This window comes from Homo sapiens, chromosome 3 (assembly GCF_000001405.40).
Source record: "Homo sapiens chromosome 3, GRCh38.p14 Primary Assembly".
NCBI classification, from domain to species: Eukaryota; Metazoa; Chordata; class Mammalia; order Primates; family Hominidae; genus Homo; species Homo sapiens.
The window spans coordinates 60,505,304-60,521,998 of record NC_000003.12 but is presented as its reverse complement, the minus strand read 5'-3'; the positions used below and the strand labels follow the sequence as shown (position 1 = coordinate 60,521,998).

Here is a 16,695-nt window from a genome sequence, read left to right as displayed (position 1 = left end):
AATTCCTGTTCCCTTGTCATCACTTACACACAGAGGCCTTCCCTGACCCTACCACAAAACTCAAACCATGGAAATGATGGTTACAAGGCTCTCTCAGTCCTGTTTCTGGTATTGTTGAATGTACATGGGAGAAGAAAGAGCTCTGCCTGCCAATGGCTCTACTGCCTCATTTACTGTCTTTGGGTACAAAACATTTGTACTTGTCAAAACTGCAAATGAGCTTTGGACAGGGAATTGGAGAAATGTATTTTAGTCCCATATGGGGAAACTTAGGTCATTTATTCTTTTTTGTTTGATTTGCTCATGTGAAGATAAAGGTATTTTCTGCTATGAAAACAGGTATTTGCCTGCCTCCTGGGCTCTTGTGAGAGAATTAAAACAAGGTGATATGGAAGTCAGAAGAATGAATAAATTTGGCATATTGGAAGCATGGTATAATAATTATAACTTTTGGCCGGGCACAGTGGCTCATGCCTGTAATCCCAGCACTTTGGGAGGCCGAGGTGGGCGGATCACGAAGTCAGCAGATCGAGACCATCCTGGCTAACACGGTGAAACCCCGTCTCTACTAAAAATACAAAAAATTAGCTGGGTGTGGTGGCGGGCGCCTGTAGTCCCAGCTACTCGGGAGGTTGAGGCAGGAGAATGGCGTGAATCTGGGAGGCGGAGCTTGCAGTGAGCCGAGATCATGCCATTGCACTCCAGCCTGGGAGACAGAGCAAGCCTCCGCCTCAAAAAATAATAATAATACTTATTTTTTTTTTATTGTCCATTATCCTGATGCCTTAAGGTTGATCAAGAGCATGGGTCTTGGAATGGACATTATATAATGGTAGCCCTAAATTTGTAAAACTGAAGCTTAAATGGAATTTAAAAAAATACTGCATTTCTATGTGAACATCACATAGCAACTGGAAAAACCCAGACTCAAGTTTAAATTAGTCATTTAAAAATGGCATTAAAATAACACCCTGGATTTAAAATAAACCAAAAAATTTATAGGCATTTGATATGAGCCTTTTTCCTTTTTTTTTCTCTTCTATGAGGCATGGTAGTAAAAATCAAACCCAACCAAACAAACTCACCTTTATTATTTCTACTGTTTTTGGTACTTGGGAAGAGGTAGGTGTGTGAAAAATGCTGCTGTTCATTCATGGCTTAGAGTTGCTTTGCCATAGTGGTTTTAAATTAAACCCTCAGGGGGTTTAGATGAGTCTAGATGCTCAACTCTCATTAACCATAATGGGAGTTACTCTAAGTGTCTCGCTCCTCCACCCACAACATTGAAAAATGACCCTCTAACACCATGTTAGTGTCCTCTTTGAACTAATTTTAATGGATTTTTTTTTTGAAAGTGAAGCATCTCTGCAATCCTGGGGTCATTGAGACTACCAACAATTCAGCAATAAGCAGTAGACCTTCATTTTGGAGTGTTCAGCCTGTACATGCTGGAAAGGTTTGGACTAGGACTGACATGCTCTCTAGACGAGATGTTTCTCTTTTATTTAGTTTCAAATCACACTACTGTTTCTTTTTAAAATCTCTTTCATCCACAGCTCAGCCTCCTGATATAATCCGTACACAGGAGGTACGGAGCATTAATGTAGTTCTGATACTACTGAAATGTTATGGAGAAAAGGAATTACAGTTGATCCTTGGAGAGCACAGGTTTGAAATGTGTGGGTCCACTTCTGTGGATTTTTTTCAATAAGTATATTAGAAAAATTTTTTGGACATTTGTGACAATTTGAAAAAAAACTAGCTAGAAATATCTAAAAAAAGAATAAATGTATGTCATTAATATATGTAGATACTAGTCTGTTCTATCATTTAGTACCATAAACACAAACAAGCCTAAAATTTATCGAAACGTAGGCACACAAACACAGTCTGGACATGGTGCCACTTGCAGTTGAGAGGAATATAAAGAAATATAAAGATGGTGTATGAAATCATAAATGCATAAAATTAACTATAGTACATACTGTACTATAAGAAATTTGTAGCCACCTTGTATTGCTATTGGGGTGAGCTCAAGTGTTGGGAGTATCTGTTTAAAACTCCTCAGGACACTAATCATCTCTGAGCTGATGGTCACTCCAGTAAATTGTTTCACAGTAAAAAGTGATCTCTCATGGTTCTCATTTTTCTTTGTGTGTGATGCATACCATAAACCTGGAATAGTACCATGGGACTAACATGAAGGGTCACTAGTGATGCTGGACGTGCTCCCAAGAAGCAGAGAAAAGCCATGATGTTACAAGAAAAGGTTAAATTCCTTGATATGTACCTACAGTTTTAGACAGATGATTCATCTTGTAAATAGATGATGTCAAGCTATGGTATCAATACATATAGTATAATACTGTAAATGTCTTTTCTCTTCCTTATGGTTTTCTTAATATTAATATTTTCTCTAGTTTACTTTAAGAATACAATACATAATACATAAACAAAATATTTGTTAATCAAGTGTTTATTGGTAAGGCTTCCAGTCAACAATAGTCTACTAGTAGTTAAGTTTTGGGAAGTTAAGTTACATGTGAATTTTCAACTATGCAGATGGGGAGTGGTACAGGATCACTTGCCCCTTAATTGTTCAAGGGCCAACTGTAAATATATTCAAACTATTTGGTGTTTTTAATGCAGTCTACCAGTAACCAGCTAATGAATTGCTTGACTAAATAAACGTTTTGTTTAAATTATATCTATGAAGCTGCAGTCTAGTTTATATCAAGTGTAACCCATTTTTAAACCTTTCATTTATTTTTTCTAATCATAAGAATATCTGCCCACTGTACAAAATAAAAACCATCTATAATCTTATTTTCCAGAAATAACCTTTGCCAAAACTGCAGTTTATTCCTTTCTACTTTTTTCTTTGTTCTTACATGTTTCTCTTGAAAAAGAGAAACACTTTATAACATGATTTTAACCTACTTCATTGTTGACATTTTTCTGACGTTTTAATATGTATGTAAAAAATAATTGTTTTTTAGACAGTCTCACTCTGTTGTCCAGGCTAGAGTGCATTGGTGCCACCTCGGTGCTCACTGCAACCTCCACCTCCTGGGTTCAAGCAATTCTCCTGCCTCAGCCTCTTGAGTAGCTGGGATTACAGGCCACCATGCCCAGCTAATTTTTGTATTTTTAGTAGAGACGAAGTTTCCCCATGTTGGCCAGGCTGGTCTCAAACTCCTGGCCTCAAGCAATCTGCCTGCCTCTGCCTCCCATAGTGCTTGGATTACAGGCATGAGCCAGCGCACCCAGCCTGCATATAAATGAAATTTTTAACGATGGTATAATATTGTGCCATATGGATCTACTATAATTTATTAGTTATTACTGACTTTTCGACATATGTGTAACAAATATTTTGGTACAGGATCTTTGGTAATGTTTCTGCTAAATTTCTTAAACTGGAATCACTACTTGCTATAATATTATGTGGTGTTTAAATGGATGAACATTCGGAAGTTATTGTATACTAGCACTGCATGGGGGTACACATCTCATAAACTTCAAGAATTAGGTTTTTTGTTTTGGCCTAACCTTTTCCAAGTTGATAGATTTTACATATCTCACTGTTTACATTTTATTATCTAATTGCTAGTGGAGTTAACTTTTAAACATATATATACATTACCTTTATCAATAAGTTACCTATGAAGGTGCTTTGCTTCTTTTTCTATTGGGATATTTTTAAAAACCCAATATGTTAGAGATCTTTTACGAATTAACCCTCTACCTGTCACATTTGTTGCAAATATTGTTCCTTTTTTGGCCCTAGCCTCTTCAGTTTCTTTAAGATGTTATTAACATGTAGAAATTTTGTCATAGTTTTGTCAACTTGGTCATTTATGAGTTTTTCCTGTTCTTTTATGCAAAATCTATCCTGAGATTAAATATTTGTGCGTATTTTCTTGTGATTTTTTTTGAATGAGTTTTCTTTCTTCTAATTTTTATTTTGCTAGTCCACTATCACCAACAAGTTCATGGAACTTCATAGGCATGCTTTAAAAATTCACTGTATCTTCCTGGCCACCCTTGAAGAAGGTAAAGAATGGTATTTCCAAGTTTATAAATGGAGAGACCAGGAGTGTCATGATGAACCGGGCAGTATGGTTCTAGAAGCACAGCGGTGTTTTCACATTCTAACTAACTTCTTTACAGAACTCCTAAGTTGGTCTTTATACTATTAATTGCTAGTTTCACATGTTTCCTGCATAGGGGTAATATTGAAAAGACAGATCTTGGGGATTGTGGCACAACTATAATGTGTCTTCTGAGTCATGAAATGTACTATATTCAATATGACGTTATGGTGCTGTTTTACATTCTAGATTATGTTTAATATAATTTTCATATAAAATGCTTTCTGCAATATTGTAATTTCTTAAAAATGATAAGCCATATATGGCAATTCCCAGTTAACCAGGCCATTGGACTGAAGACCACCCTTTGACCGTTGATGAAGAGCAAAAAATTCATAGTAATATCAGTGGGTCAGCCGCCTGTAGTTTTAGGGAGGTGGGTGTAGAGAGACAGAGGAAGTAGCTACTTAGTATCCTATGATTCCGATGCTATCTAAAAGACAACTCATATTTGATGGAGGGAATAAAATGTCAAAGAATATGTGAAAGGTATAGTAGGATGGGATGGAAGAATTTTACATGTATTGCATCATATATGGCAATAATATAAATAAGAAAGATATCTACAACAAGTTGTGTGTTCTCAAATCACCTCCTGAATGACCTTTATCAATTTTTAAAAATGAAATAGATAAAAATTTGCACAGGTAAAAATATATTTAACTTAACCCTAAAATAACATTAACTCTTGAGCCTTTATAACTATTCACCCACTTTTTGTCATTAAGAGATACCTTGGAATTTGTCAGCTTAACAACTTCTCGACATGTTTTTATAGCCAAAATGCAACAGAAATTACATTAAAGAATTTCCCCTGTCTGATGTGACTTTGAACATGAAAGGGTTTTGAAAGGATGTTGCTATCCATCCTCAGAGGAGTAGAGATTCAAATGATTATGTTTTCTTAGCTCCCATGAAGTCGAAGTTTGTATCTCAATTGATTTCTCAATTTACTGAAGCTCCTATTATAATTATCCCTATTATAACATGGGTGTAATTGATCACTTTCGCTCAAGTGATCCCTGTCATTGTCTCAGCTGTCAGAATGTACAATTCAGTACAGAGACGTTACTCTGGCGGAGATGCTTCTTGCAAAGCCAGGTCATTTTATTTATTCATCTAACATATAATATTTATGCTCTGAGATTGTTCTAGGCATTTGATAAATATTAATTTAGCACTCATGAGCAAACCTATCAGGTGGGTACTGTTGGTATCTCCATTTTATAGATGAGAGAATGAGATAATATGAGCTAAATCGATCTAGACCAAACAGCTATTAAGTGGCAGAGCCAGGTTTCAAATCCAGGTGGTCTAACTCTAGAGTCCTTTCTCTAGACCAGTGGTCCTGGGGCCCCGGAAGGTCCCCAAGACCTTTGCAGAATTTGTGAAGTAGTTCCTTTTCCAACTATATGTCTATATGAGGCCAACTTCTTCCTATGCTTTAGCGAAGACATCTCATGATAGATTGCATACAGAAGCAGAAATAAGGATGCAATTATCTTCTATCAAGCCATTCATTAGAGATTTGTCACTCTTCACACTAGTTTTTTTGTTTTAGAAAATATTATTAAAATATTACATTAACATATGGGTTTATTATTTTAAGTAAATGAATAAATATTTTAGAATTTTCTTAGTTCTAACTTGGAATTAAATATCAGCAAATATAGTCACATAAATTCAAGCTCTTCGGTGTAGTCAATTTTTCAACAGCGTGAAGAGGTACAGAGACCAACAGGTTTGTGGATAGGTCCTCTGAACCCATAGTATGTTTCCCCACTCCTTTGTCTCAGCTCCAGATTTCCCTGCCTTCCCCGCCTTCCCCACTATATCAACTTGAGTGTTCACTTAAAAATGTGAGCCTTATTTCCTGAAGGCAAAGGTGATTTTTGCATACCCAGAGGCAGTATTCATGGGCTGAGGAATATAAGCTTTGCAGCTGAGGGCCTGGATGTGAATCCAAGCTCAGTTGTCTTACAAGAGCAAGCCCTGGGAATTACTTAACCTAGATTTCCTTCAGTTACCTTATGCTTCAAATGGGCGGTAATAGTATCTACCCAGCGGAATTGTTGTGAGGATCATGTGAGTTAATATATGCAAAATGCTTAAACTCTCTCTCGTCCATATGAAGCATTCAAATATAAGCTCCATTATTGTTAAGTTTCTATTGTTATGAGAATTATAGAAGAGTCTAATGTGATTTTTGTGTTCTACAAGTTTTCTTAAAGTTTCTCTTATTTCCGTGAACATTTTTTTTTTTTTTTTAAATTAAAGCCCAAACTTCCCTTTGTAGCTTGTTTTTCAAAGCAGAGCCAGGTCTATGACAGTAGCCTTGATCTTAATTGTGTGGTTAGTTCTCTTTGGGGTGAGGCTACTCTTGAAATGCATTTATCTTCTTGTAAGCCCATAAATACTGATATTAATGGTGTCATTCCTCCTTCCTGGACGAATTCCCTCAATTTCTTGCATTTCACGTCCCGTAAATGTATAGATTTTCCTTCCTCCTCCTCCCACCACATCCAGTGGTGCTGTTTGTGTTCTGTGCCAGGGACAGGGGCAGGATCTCCTGCCTTGAACCGAGCTCTGCAGCCTTCCTGCCAGCTGCAGTCCACATCAGGCCTACAGTTGGTTTTCTTCCCAGCTTCCGCTCACACTAGGATGGAATATTACCCTCTTATAATGGCTTGTTTATCTAGCAGCTCTCCCTCGGCTCCAGGTCAGAGGCTTTCCTCCAGGCACCACTCCGCGCCTGCCTGTTCATTTGCGGTGCCCACTGTTTTGTCTGCCTGCCTCACCTTGTCTGTCGGAGGTCACTGTCCCTCCAGGGAATGCGGTAACCAGCTGCATTTTATCTAGTAAGGTGGCCTCTGCTCACATGCTCTTGTGACAGATTACAGCCTGGCTTCCCACCAGGGACTCCTCTGAGTGAGACACCAAAGGCTGTTGTCAGTGTGGCTGTTGGTGGGAGAGTCCTCAGTGTCCAAAGATACCCTTAGCATTTTCATGTGTCTGTAGGAACGCTTTCATGTGACTTCTGTGTCTCCTGATGGATCTGGAAAGATTTCTCTCCTCTCAGAGACTTCTAGGTTGTCTTACTGACATTGGAGGCAAAATGGCTTATGATAAACACTGGAGGATTTTTGTCGTTGTTGTTGTTCCACCACTTATAACTCTTGTTTTTATTATCTTTTAAAACTTTAAGTTCTGGGATACATGTGCAGCATGTGTGGGTTTGTTACATAGGTCAACATGTGCCATGGTGGTTGCTGCATCTACCAACCCGTCACCTGGTGTTAAGCCCTGCATGCATTAGCTATTTAACCTGATGCTCTCCTTCTCCCCACCTCCTCGACAGGCCCCAGTGAAACGGGAGCTCCCTTGACCACTTCGCTGGCAGGAACTGAAGCTGCTAGTTTTACTCAGCCCACTGCTGGCCACTCCCCACGGGAGGGAGCGTGCAAGGAAACGGGTGTGGGAACCGGAGTGAAGGAACACTGGAACTGCTGGCTGCTTCTCTCCAGCAGAAGCAGGCCCTGTGCATGCCCCATGGCAGCGTCCAAGTGTGTTACAATGCTCTTTTAGCCTTGCCATCCACAGACAGCTTAAGTGTTAGCCAGCTCAGTGAAGAGTCAGTGTGACAGCCTTTTTGGGTTTCCACACCCAGTGCCTCCTGAATTCTTGTCTGGCATCCAGGAAGAATCAGGTCACACAAATGGATTGAAGGGTAGTGTGTGCAGAGGATTTTATTGGGTGATGAAAGTGGATCTCAGCAGGATGGGGAGCTGGAAAGGGAATGGAGTGGGAAGATAATCTTCCCTTGGAGTAAGGCTGTCCCTGGCCAAACTTCTCCCCAACCTAGTCTCCGATGTCCAGCTGCCTCTTGTCCTCTCCACGTTCAGACACTTCTCTCCTCTTCTCTCCTGTTCTCTGCTCTGCCGCTCTGCTGCTCTTCTGCTCATGGAGCGTGGGGTTTGGGGTTCTTATGGGCACAGGATAGGGTGCAGGGCAGGTCAGAGTGGTTTTGGAAAAGGCAACATCTGGGCACAAAAACAAGCATGCCTATTCTCATTTAAGGCCATGGGTCCAGGCTTGAGAGTAGAACCCTCACCAGGGACCCTTCCCTCCTGCTTCCTGTCCATATCACCAGTGTGTATTGTTCCCTGTGTCCATGTGTTCTCATTGTTCAGCTCCCTCTTGTAAGTGAGAACATGTGGTGTTTGGTTTTCTGTTCCTGTGTGTGTTTGCTGAGGATAATGACATGGACAAAGCTGAAAGATTGGAGGATTTTAAACTCCAAAGGGAATCTTATCTTTGTTATCCTTAACTGAAAAATATTTGCCTTTTTTATGTAGGGGAAAATTATTATTAAATGTTTTGAACTTTGCTTATTTGGACCACTGTTTCTGCCAATAAAGTTTTGAGCTGACTTACAAAAACAGAGTACAACACATTTATTTTTACTGTAAGTGAGAAATTGAGGCTGAAGAAAAATACCTGGGAAATTCCATGGGTGGTCTGTGTATATAAGATTCAGAATAAAAGTAAATAGAATGTAAAAATTTCAACCTCAGTAAAGTTGAAAGAACAGTTCAGTGATCACCTGTTTATCTCTCATTGAGATTCATTAACTTTGACATCTTGATATATCTGTGCCGTGTCTCTGTAGACACTTCCTTTGTGCCAAACCCTCTAACAAACAGTAGTCTGCTGCAGATGTTAGGATGCTTTACTCCTAAATAATTCAGCTTGCATTTTCCAAGAATAAGGAAACATTCCTACACAACTAACCCCATTTACTGCACCCAAGAAAATTCACATTAGTTCAGTAATATCATATTTTCCATATTCAGATTTTCTCAATTTGCTTTCTCAGTTGGCTTTTTTTCCTCCATGACACAGATCCAGTCAAGGTTCCTAAATTGCTTTTGGTTATTCATAAATTAATAAATTGCATTTGGTTATTAAATATTTTAAAATATATATCAATTGTCTAACTCCCTTGGATATTCATGACATTAAATTATTTGAAGATTCCAAGCCATATGGCCCATGCAACAGCCTACTATCTTGATCCATCTCATTGTTTTCTCCTGATTCGGTTCATTTAAACCATTTTTGGCAAGGACACCAAATAGGTTATGTTGTCCCCTTGCCTCTGCATCAGTACATCCTGTCAGGCTATTGGCATCACTAATGACAATGCCAAGTTTCACCATTTGGTTAGTTGATGACTGCCAGATTACCCCACTGTAAAAGACACAGTTTTTTTCTTTTTAATTATTATATAGTGGGGTGATAATGCAGTTCACCATTCATCTGAAATTCAAAGACAAAGCTGAATTTATTGTAAAGGAGAACTATGCTGGTCGAGTTCAGTCTGAGTAGACCAAAGTGGAAAGTATGGAGTTAAGTAGATTTTCAGAAGTAAGTAAGCTGACATATGTGGAAACATGTTGATTCAGGTGAGGAGTGGGGCAGGTTGCTTAATTGGCACTTAGAGATGTATGAGTCTGTTGCTGACTGGCTGTCTTTTAGCAATAAAGGGCTGTTACTGATTGGTTGACTAGAAAGTGCCAATTAAATAGACTTTAATCTGATTCAGGATGCTACTTATTACCATGGCTACATATCAGTCAATCTTTTCCTAGGTTTGCTGTGACTTGAATTAATAGACATGTCTTGTTCCACAATAAGATTTCCCCTAATTGTTTGTTTTAGCATTTGTTGGTGATTCTGGCTTGAGTCATTTATAATATGGGATATATAAGATGTTAGCTTTCTATTTTTGTCGTTCTTTCAACATATATTTACAGACATTATTCTGTAAGGAAGAACTTTACCTCTCCTCAATTTTTTTAGCCCCTTTTTGTCTGTTGCTGTTTCTCTCTCATCTAGTAAACTGAGATCACTTTTAATTCAAGGTGTTAGAATCCATTTATTATATCATTTTGATTAAATTTGCCCAATTTGACAGCAGAAGTCCCTTTATTCAGATGTCTCTGCCCTTTTGAGATAACCCTATTTATCTATAAGCTGTCCTCATTTCCTGGCATAACATACTTTCCCTGCTTCAGATCTGGAATTAGCTATATGGTTCATTTAAATAGAAGATAATTAGAAACCAAGATCTGGGCATTAAGTGTGCTCATGGCTACTCAGGTGACATTGTTTCTAGGCCCTTCTGTTAGAAAGGACTGGAAAATATGTATACATATATTTTAAATCATGGATTGATGCTGATACCTCCATTAAAATCCAGCACTATGGGGGTGCTTCCTCTCATTTTATGTTTATTTTTCTCTTCTATTTATTCTAAGACCCTATAGTACCCTCAAAATAATTTCAGAATTTTAACATCAAAATTTCCAAATTTTTGATTAAAGATAAATGGTCTGAGTTGAAAGTGTCTTTAGAGATACCTTAGATTTTTCTCTAGTTATAGCTTGATTGTCTTAAAACACATAAAGCGATGTTTGTCTGTGTAGAAGGAGACATTCTGAAGGGTGTCGACCATTTCTGTATAGCTCAGTACTGATGGAATTGGCATAATGGTGGTAATTATAGGTAATATTTATTGAAGGATTAGTATATCTCCAGCACCATTCTCAGTACGATACATATTTTCTCTGTTAATCCTTGTGAAAACCCTTTAAGATAGTTAATATTATCATTTTAATTTCACTGATGGATAACCTTATGCAAAGTCTCACTGAAAGTAATGGGCAGACATGAGACTCACACCTAGGCATTCTGATGATAGAGTTTAGATTCTTGACCACTCTGCTGTACATGTGTTTTACGTTTTTAATAATAAAATAGCTACTCATTATTACCTGCATTTCCCCCATCATCAGAACACTTTTCACCCCCTTACTGGAATTTATTCTTGGTTTGTCATTAACATTAGATGTAAGACCTCCGAGGTTAGAGACTATGATTCTATTATGTACTATTGAATTTACAACATATACTACATTATATGGTGCATAAATGCACTTACTGGATTTTTAATAATGGCACTATAGTCATTCCTATGTGCCATTGTGCTAAAACCTTAAATTTAAATTTAATATTTTGGATTCGTAATTGTACAAATTAGGTATTTCTATATTGTGTGTGTGGGGGGAGGTGGGGGAGCAGGTTCAAGAAGGTAACATGATTGCCCACAGCCCTTCAGCTAGTAAATACCAGAGACTTGAACTCACATCTCTGTCTTGGAAGCCTGGTCTTTATCGTCTCCCATGAGATCTCATTTTCTAATGAAATTCTTCCTAGTCCATCTAGTCGATGCTGACCCTAGTGGAAGGATACATATTTGACTAGCTTCACAAAAAATGAGATAAAAGGCCAAATAGGTCCATTATACTCAGCAGATGCTCCATTCAAATTCAAGGCCTAGAAATGATATGTAGAAGAGAGAATACTTCTTAGGGGGTCCTAAAATTCCTAAAGGAAAACAAAAATGAATCATGGCCGTTTAAACTCTTATAGAAACTTAACAATAATTGGCCTTTTTTGGGCTTGCAGAATATGTGAAATTGGATCTGAATTGCAGGTGAATTGCAAAGTGCAGCTGTTACCCATCAATCCTGGCTTAACTATGCTTGGTTTTCAGTGCTGTTCTAGTTTTCCCCACTCGCCAAGATGGCCAGCTCAGGCATTGGGTTTCCTTTTGCTACCATTGGTTTCCTGTGTTCTTCATACCTGACCTTTGTTTTATGAATTCCACAGTATGTTGCTACTGAAGCTGACATTTTATTCATTTTCCAGAGACAAAAATAAAGATGGCAAAATAAGAGTACTAGTAACTCTGGGATGGGCGCTCTTTGTAGTCAACCTCACCAAGCTGTAGGCTGAAGCTGCTAGGGTTTGTATCACTCATTGGAATCTCTGTGAATGATAATGTTGGCAAAGGTTGAGACGGTAGCAAGGTTTCTTTACCAGGTACGTGATGTATTCATTGAAACAAAAAAACTGTAAGACAATGAAAAAATATTTTCTTCCTATTCCTTAGAAAGACTATATCCATAACGTTAAAGAGACTTATTGGGTAGTTTTCTCTGAAAATGAAACAGATCATTGTCAACAGAGGATGAAAGACTAGTCTGGATTGCAAGTGTAGCCACAGAAATGTCATGTGAAGGCAATATGAAAATGTAAATGTGCTTAGAGGACTAAAGTGGACATGCTTTCCAAGTCATCTGTCACTTGCGAATAGCAAAATAGCAGATATAGTTAACATTTCATTGTAATTTCTAAGTGGTAGGCTAAGGCAATAAACAAATGTTACTGGGCTTTTTACAAATTCCATTTGAGATGTGATCATAGGAACAGTATAATGAATTTATTAAGATTATGAATGTGGATTCAGTCTAACAGAGATGTGAATCCTAATTCATCTATTTATTATCTGTGTGATTTTGGACAACTTGTCTTATCTGAGAATCAGCTTCTACTTATGTAATAGTACACAAGATTGGAAAGCTATGGGAAGCAGGTCATAGACTGAAATTTGAAAGCTAAGCACAAACAGGCCTCAGAAATAATAGAAGTTGGGGCAGCTCTGGGTATCCTGGTTGCGGTAATGACAGTCTCCTCAGGATGCTGCCATTGAAGTGATGTAGCTCCAACCATACATGTCCTGGTATCATTTGGAATCGCCAAGAGTCACATTCCTGGAGCACGCCATCTGTTTGGCCTGTCCTGGATCTCTTGCTTGGTAGATAAGGTGTTTTATTTGATAGCCTACCAGGACTGCTTGCAATGGGGGAGTTGCAGGTACCCCAAAAGAATTTGGGTGGGAATATAGGAAGAGAAGCTTAGCTGGTAGACACCACAGATATGTACTATGTGGGTCTAGAGAGGGAATCTTAAAGCAGTGATTTGTGTCTGTACATTTATACTATCACGTTCGTCTTTACTTCATCAGCCAGGTGTAGAATTAGTTTTTTTTAAAACCAAATATATAGGAATTTGGCATGGTAACAGCTGTGTCTTATAATTGGCTTTTTGAGAAGCTAAGCTGTGATGCCATAAGTACCTACTCTAAAGATTGTTGAAACACATCTTTGAACTTTAAGATGTCAAAGAAAACACCCTCATAATATACAAATCTCACAGATTTGGATAAGAATTGATCCAAATAAATAGAAGGAATAGAATTCAAGCTAGCTCAGAGGGTAGTCTTTGGCATTTTGAAGTACTTTGTATTATCTATTTTTTTGTTTTCACCTTTTCCAAAAAGATGACATAGATTATATGGAAAGAGAAAAAACTTGAACTCTCCAATGAAGTCTAAATTAATATTCACTCACTTGTCCAAAGAGTTTTCCTAAGATTCACAAGTTTGACAAACATCATTTATGCTCACACCATTATTCAGTAATAACAGTTTCCACCTGTAACTGTGGTGGCAGGGAGTTGAAATTACCTACCATTATGGGTTATTTTCAAGTAGTCAAACCTAATTGATAAATTAAGTCAAATTCATAATCCAGAGACATTATTTCTTAGATTCCTTCTTTATTGTAAGATCTATCGCTTCATGGATAGTAGTACTATAGAACATCCTTCTTTTTCTAACATGCAATACTGTATTCACAGTGCTGATCTTGCTGGTTTTACTTCCTAAATTTCACAAATCTATCTATTTCTCTAATTTCTAATGCCAGTGCCCTAATCCAAGCCACCAGCATTCCTCACTCAGCTTATTTATTGTCTTCACTCTACATTCCCTGCAATACATTCTCCATGTAGCTAGCAGTCAGAGCTTTATCAAACACAAACTGATGAAGAACTCCTTACTTTATCCCCATTGAAAAACCTTTGTCATTCTGCTATAAAGACACATGCATGCATATGTTCACCGAAGCACTATTCACAATAGCAAAGATATAGAATCAACCTAAATGCTCATCAGTGGTAGACTGGATAAAGAAAATGTTGTACATATACACCATGGAATACTATGCAGCCATAAAAAGAATGAAATCATGTCCTTTACAAGGACATGGATGGAGCTGGAGGCCATTGTCTTTAGCAAACTAATGCAGGAACAGGAAAGCAAATACCACATGTTCTCACTTATAAGTGGGAGTTAAATGATGAGAACACAAGGACATATGGGCCGAGGAAACAATGTATACTGGGGCTTATCAGAGGGTGGAAGATGGAAGGAGGGAGAGGATCAGGAAAAATAACTAACGGGTACTAGACTTAATACCTGGGTGATGAAATAATCTGTACAACAAACCGCCATGACACGAGTTTACCTATGTAACTAACCTACCCTCGTACCCCTGAGCTTAAAATACAAGTTTTGTTGTTGCTGCTGTTGTTGTTGTAAAAAAACAAAATGAAACAAAACAAAACAAAAAACCTTTGCTAGCTTCCTTTCGTACATAGGATAAAGACCCTAGCTTTTAAAACATGGCCTTTAAAGGCCTCTGGTCTTGCTTCAGTCTTTCTCTCTAATCTCACCACATGCCAGGCCTCCCTCTTTCTTTCATGCCCAGCCATACTAGCCTCTTTCATTCCTCCACCAAATCGTGTTTCCTTTAGCCATAGGCCTTTGCATGTTGTTTCTCTCTTGACTGGAATGTTTTTGCATTGTCTTTTTACCTTGCTAACTCCTGTTCATTCTACCAATGCCAACTCACGTATCCCTTCTTCTAGAAGGGCTCTTTTGAAACCTCAGTCTTGGCCACTTTCCTTTATTATATGTTCTAATGGAACCACATTTCTTTCCTTGATAGCATTTACTTGTTTGTAATTCACATGTGCTAGAATGATGGTGCAATTTCCATTTTCTTCCTCTAGACTATGAGAGCAGGGGCAGTATATGCTTTTTTTTCACTATAGTAACTTCAGCACTATGTTTTACACACACTAAATCACAATTTATTAAATGAAGTAATTAAGACTTAGGGATAGTATATCCGTCAGTTTTTATGGGGCAACAACCTGGAATCTTGGTAGTTTACAACAACATCATTCATTCTTGTTCACAAATCTGCAGGTCAGCTGTGGCTCTGCTGGTCTTGGCTGGGCTCAGCTGGCTTTGGGTCTGCTCCATTGTCTTCTCATTCCATTTACGCAGGCTGAAGAAGCAGCCCCTATCTGGAACATTTTGCTCCTATGGTAGAGGGCAGGAGGTTAGAAGGCCAACCCAGACCACACACATACGTTTAAAGCTTCCTTTGGGAGGGCCGTGTGTTATATCCACTTGTGATCCATTGGCCAAAGCACATCACATGACCATCTTGAAATCAGTAAAGCAAAGTAGTATACTCCTCCCACGATGTAGGAGAAGAGGAGAATAAATATTTGTGAAGAAAATGGTGCCATCTACTATAGATAGTAAACACACTTGTCCGAGATTTTCAGACAAATGATTATCTGCCTTGTGTACTGACTCTAAAACCGTGGATTTGCCAAACACAATCTCTGTAATATAGATAATATATGATAAATAATTTCTCCAAAGGCACCAGTGTTCAGGAGTTGCAGTTTACAAAATTAGCTTTATACTTGTTGCTACAGATCCTATGGAATACATCCATCCCTTCCCACCTACCCTCCACCCTCAAAGTACCATGTGAAAAATAGACATCAACCATGTGTGCTATGTAACCAGTGTTTGTGGACTCCTTCATTAGTGCCTACCATATAAAAAGAACTGTAAAATAACATGGAAAGCTCAATTATATTGTCTGTGAGAAATCATGGGAAAAGACTATTAAATTTTCACATTTTACTCATGGCTTTGTTGATTAATTGAAAGAAAATAAGACTAATGATAAAGTTGGTCATATTTATGAAATTGCCACAAAATGAGGAGTCATCAAACCAGACTTTTACAAATGGCCTAATAGTTTCTTCTACAAAAAGCAGAGGTGGGTTGGCATGAGGAGGCCATATTTGGTAACTGTGGGGTTAATGTTACCAAATTCAAGCTTATTAACATTAGAAGAATGATGATAATATAGAAGTTGTCAGAATTTGGAAAGAGGTTTTGTCCGTTGGATGAAAGAATGCCATTGCAATACCAATGGATGCCAATGGGATAGCAGAAATCTAAGAGTTTGTCAACATCTTGGCCAAGATAATCAGCAGGGGATTTGGGCAGCTTTCTGGGATTTACCACATGAAAAATAGCAATCAAAAACAGAGCCCAAATAATATGTATTCCCAATTCATAGTCTGATTATCATAAAATATGCTGGAAGAAACCTTGGAGGATGATCTCCTCCAGATGGGAAGCAAAGGTGAAAAGTGTAAATATGAGAGAGAATGTGCGTCTGTATTAGTTACAAACGGCTTAAAAATATTTCTGTAACTTTGTCATAAGATGTTTTAAAAGAAGTTTTAGGGAAAATTTTCTTTCTAATAACTAACATATCTTTTCTATGAGGCTTTTATATTTAGTAATAACAGCTACCACTTATTTAATTCTGACTTAATGGCCCTTTACACAGATGCTGAAAGAAGCCTAGGGGTATGGAAGTAAGCTGTCCACACTCACCCACCTAGTAAGTAG

General features: G+C 38.0%; 1 protein-coding gene across 6 annotated transcripts in view, besides 3 other annotated features; it reads left to right on the top strand.

Annotated features, from left to right (window-relative positions):
* Window positions 1-16,695, top strand: part of FHIT (fragile histidine triad diadenosine triphosphatase) — a 1,504,176-nt gene that overhangs the window by 729,454 nt on the left and 758,027 nt on the right. The window lies entirely within an intron of this gene.
* Window positions 11,285-12,122: an origin of replication, noted in NCBI's record as "Ori 4; region of peak nascent strand synthesis determined by microarray hybridization of labeled, size-fractionated nascent DNA from APH-treated cells". NCBI's record gives the evidence for it as "EXISTENCE:nucleotide analog incorporation evidence [ECO:0001107][PMID:19815620]".
* Window positions 11,285-16,695: part of a biological region, named in NCBI's record as "origin of replication at fragile site FRA3B", that runs on past the window's edge.
* Window positions 14,951-16,332: an origin of replication, noted in NCBI's record as "Ori 4; region of peak nascent strand synthesis determined by microarray hybridization of labeled, size-fractionated nascent DNA from APH-treated cells". NCBI's record gives the evidence for it as "EXISTENCE:nucleotide analog incorporation evidence [ECO:0001107][PMID:19815620]".